This window comes from Homo sapiens, chromosome X (assembly GCF_000001405.40).
Source record: "Homo sapiens chromosome X, GRCh38.p14 Primary Assembly".
NCBI lineage: Eukaryota > Metazoa > Chordata > Mammalia > Primates > Hominidae > Homo > Homo sapiens.
In genome coordinates this window covers 113984178-113988905 of record NC_000023.11, presented here as the reverse complement: position 1 = coordinate 113988905, position 4728 = coordinate 113984178, and the positions used below count along the sequence as shown (strand labels likewise).

At 41.7% G+C, this 4728-nt stretch overlaps 1 annotated feature.

Moving 5' to 3' along the window:
* Window positions 1-700: an enhancer, noted in NCBI's record as "OCT4-NANOG-H3K27ac hESC enhancer chrX:113231447-113232146 (GRCh37/hg19 assembly coordinates)". NCBI's record gives its function as "activates a minimal SCP1, AML or CMV promoter by ChIP-STARR-seq in naive H9 embryonic stem cells {active_cell/tissue: H9 hESC(naive)}" and the evidence as "EXISTENCE:reporter gene assay evidence [ECO:0000049][PMID:30033119]".

The window sequence follows — 4728 nt, the reverse complement described above, 5'->3', positions numbered from 1 at the left end:
TATACACACACACGTATATACACACATATATAAACACATATACACCACACACACACATGTACACACACACAGCTTGGAAATTTTCATGCACGTCCCTGTGAAGAGACCACCAAACAGGCTTTGTGTGAGCAAAATGGCTGTTGATTTCACCTGGGTGCAGGCGGGCTGAGTCTGAAAAGAGTCAGCGAAGGGAGTTAGGGGTGGGGCCGTTTTACAGGATTTGGGAAGGTAATGGAAAATTAGTCAAAGGGGGTTGTTCTCTGGTGGGCAGGGGCGGGGGTCACAAGGTGCTTAGTGGGGGAGCTTCTGAGCCAGGAGAAGGAAATTCACAGGGTTAATCACTCAGTTAAGGTGGGGCAGGAAGTAATCACAATGGTGGAATGTCATCAGTTAAGGCGGGGCAGGGCCTTTTCACTTCTTTTGTGATTCTTCAGTTACTTCAGGCCATCTGAGCGTATACGTGCAAGTCACAGGGGATGTGATGGCTTGGCTTGGGCTCAGAGGCCTGACAGAAATCGGCTTTTAATGAAGCTGACTTTTAACCATAGAGTTCTAAAAAAATTCTTTCCAATCTCTCACTATCATATTTTAGCTGGAACAGTTGATATTTCAAAAGTCACACAAATATCAAACCAGAAAGGATTCATTCTCTGAGCCAAGAATTGAACCCAGATTGCCACAGTGAAAGGGCAGAGTCTCAGCTACTAAAATACAGTGTGGGGCAGTCACCATTGCTCTTCTGGAGCAGGCAGTTTTGAACTTACATAGGATTTTAACTGCTTGAGAGAATTTTAAAGGCTAGCCATGACACTATTGTGTATCTTTTTAAAAATTTAAACTTTTTTTCCAATTGTTTAGAATAAGTCATCTCTAAAATCTTTTTTGTTTTTCTATCTTTTGGCCATTGACGATTAGAATTCTCAATTGTAGGCTTTATTCCAATAGCAACTCAATCCAAAACCTCTGTAATGTAGAGGAGGCAGCTCCCTGATCCCCAAAAATTTACTCTCAGAAATAGACTTAACATAGACAAAAGACAATGAAGGTGTCATAGGGATAAGCCTTTTTTTAAGACAAAACTCCTCTAAGAGCTTGACACACTTGGTACAAAGAGTGTGTTGCTTAAAATATTATGTGTGTTGGACTCCCAGTCTTTCAGACTGTCCACTTGACCACAAAAATTCATGCCCTCTGGGTAGTAGAGACTATGAGAGAATATGCCACTTAGTCACAAAATCAAGCTCTCAAGGACGTAAAACAAGACAAGAGGGAAACCTTACCCAGTTTTTCTTTCAGGGACCAACAGCAAAGTTTATCTTAACAGACATATATCTAGCCAGAAGTGCAAGCTCACCAGTGTTCAGGGCTGGCTCAAACAGCAGGCTTTACGGACACTAGGCCCATATTCTACCCTATGGTACTCTTCTTTATGACAGAATGACATGGAAAGACAATGACAAAAGAAAATGACTGCCCCAAAAAAGTTATTTCTGAGAGGAAAAGTCGCCAAACAATATGAATATTCACCAGGCACGGTGGCTCACACCTGTAATCCCAGCACTTTGGGACACCAAGGTGGGCGGATCACCTGAGGTCAGTAGTTCAAGACCATCCTGGCCAACATGGTGAAACCCCGTCTCTACTAAAAATACAAAAATTAGCTGGGCATGGTGGTGCGTACCTGTAATCCCAGCTACTCTGGAGGCCGAGGCAGGAGAATCGCTTGAACCAAGGAGTCGGAGGTTGCAGCGAGCCGAGATCGCACTGCACTTCAGCCTGGAGACAGATCGAGAGTCTGTCTCAAAAAAAAAAAAAAAAAAAAAAAAAGAATATTCATACCACAAAGTACCAAAAATACACCAGAGTAGCTACAAGGCAAGACTAGTCAAACAGACCCTTTTATCCCATTAATCAAAACCTTGCAGATTAGACAAACAGTGATTTTTATCATCTGCTCCACTAGAACATACAGAAAGAAAGGCCAGAAGCCTGGCTGGTTAGAAATTTTTACTCCTTTGCTGGACGATTGGGTTCCTGGTTTCTCTTCACTGTAGCCTCCAAAACAGAAGAGCAGCTTTGGTCATTCTGCTTATAGCACCATACTGTGGGGCCATAGGCTCTTGGCCTTCTAAAGATTCCCTTAAAAATCACTGACATGAGGCAGATTGATTAATAGGAGAAAAGGTATACAGGTTTCTTTAACATGTCTACAGGGAAGCCTTCAGAATGAAGACCTAGTTTCCAAATTCATTCTGAAATTACAGAAAGAATGCTGACTCAGTGTATGTCCAAAGTAAACAAACAAACAAAAACTAGGTTTTCTTACCAAAACACCAGGGGTTCAGTCTAGGTCCTGCTGCTCATTGCACAGAAGGCCAGTCACTGAGACAATGCATATTGCCAAGGAAGAAGGCTTTAATCAGGTAGGGCATCTGAAGAGATGGGAGATCAGTCTCAAATCCATCTCTTAGACCGACTAAAACTAGGGGTTTGTATCGCAAACCCCTAGCAGGGAAGAAATGTAACCATTTGTGGAAAAACAAGAACTAAGGAAGGTGATATGGTTTGGCTGTGTCACCACCCAAATCTCAACTTGAATTGTATCTCCTAGAATTCCTACCTGTTGTGGGAGGGACCCAGGGGGACGTAATTGAATCACTGGGGCTGGTATTTCCTGTGCTATTCTTGTGATAGTGAAAAAGTCCCACAAGATCTGATGTGTTTATCAGGGGTTTCCACTTTTGCTTCCTCCTGATTTTTTTCTTGCCACCACCATGTAAAAAGTGCCTTTTGCCTCCTGCTATGATTCTGAGGCCTCCCCAGCCATGTGGAACTGTAAGTCCAATTAAACCTCTTTTGTTCCCAGTTTCAGGTATGTCTTTATCAGCAGCGTGAAAACTGACTAATACAGAGGGGGTAAGGAAGAGGAGTTGGTCAATAAGAAGCATGTGGAAGTTAGGAAAACAGGAATTGGAGTGTGGGGGCTAAGGAAGCAATCATGACAAATGACGGGTCTGGCATCTCATTGTCTGGATTGATAATCTGCTGAGTTTCAGTTCTTTGATAGTTTTTGAGAGGCCTGAGGGTTGTTTTCTAAGGAAGGAACTCAAATAAAACAAATGTAAGCCAGAATAATCAATTTCTATGTGTATCCAGAAAACTGTCTTTGGGACTATTGCATCAGTTTCAGTCTCTTTTTTTCATTTATAAATTCTTTAATCATGGAGAATCTGATCATTGATCTTTCTGGCTGCTTTATGCTGAGGAGGGGCATCATGGGATAATGGTGAGGACAACACAGATAACCCAAATTTTAAAATACCAAAGAATATGGAGTGGATCTCCTGGGGAATACAAGAGAATAATCCTGAAAAACACATGTTCCCTTTATGATTTCTTATCTAGGGCCTTTACCTGAGCTTTGAATATTAACTTAAGTTTCTCTGAGGGTTCACAAGACCATGACTGTTTCCCCTGGAGACATCCCAGAGAGGGACTGGTTTTACTTGAGTATGGTGAATCCAAGGCTTAACATCTGCTAACTTGACAGATAAGTGGGGTGGTCAACAACACCTCAAAAAGGCAGATCCATTGTGCTTGCAGTTGGTTTTCAGCTTGATGAGATTTCTAGGTCTTCATCAAGACTTATCTCCTGGCTTCAGAGTGGAAACGCACATCTGTAGGGAACTGCAGCCTGCTGGAAGCAAACTCAGAGAAACTAGTGAACATATTTCCTAAATGTTTTATATATTATCTAGTTTATTTTTCAAAGGTGAAAACATTCTCAAGTGTCAGGGAGCCTGGGGGTCAGAGAAATGGTCTCTCAAACATTTCAAAGGAGATAAGAGCCAACCTACTTCTAGAGCTACCCATATCTTCAGCAGGGCAAGGGGCACGACCTTTTCCCCGGTAAGACTGAACTCTTAGCAAATTTTAGGAAGACACTTCTTTAATTTCCTATTAATTCTTTCAGTCTTTCCAGAAGATTGGGGTCTTTAAGATGAATGCAGAATCCAATCAGCACTTACTAAGCATTGATACTTCCTGGGTTACTTGGGCTATAAAGTGGCTCCATTGTTACTTTGGAGAGTTTATGGGAGTCCATATTGAGGAATTATTTTCTGCATTAGAAACTTTACAATTTTGGTAGCTTCCTCAGTCTTAATGGAGTAAACCTCAACTCAGCTTGTAAAAGTATCAACAAAAACCAACAAATATCAAAAATTTCCAGAGGCTTGAGCCATTATAGTGAAATTCAATTGCGAGTCTTCTCCAGGGAAAGTTCCTCTACACAGAGTTCCTTGCTTAAAGGGGGCTTTTATGCCTTCCGGTGGCTTTGAATTATTTTTCAAGCAAGTAAGACAACTTTGGATTACAGTTTGTATTGTTCATTGCAAGTTAGGCCTAGTAAGATAAGAATGTATCCAGCATAGAGTGGTCTACCACCCATAATGAGTGCTTTGATGGATTTGCTCAGGGATTGGTCTAATAAAAGTTTCTGGAAGGAGAATTATTCCTTCATTATTTGTAAGCCATTTATGGTCAACATATTTAGAAAACCCCATTCCTCAGCTCTTTTAAGATCAGCCTCTGAATATCTGTGGTGATAGGTCTCCAGACAGAGTAGGAATGAGAACCAGCTGGGTAGTGGGCCTCTGGGTGCCTTTTTCACCTGTAGGTTAGCGTTAATATTTCCCTGTGGAACATTGGTGCCTGCCTTGTGGTACC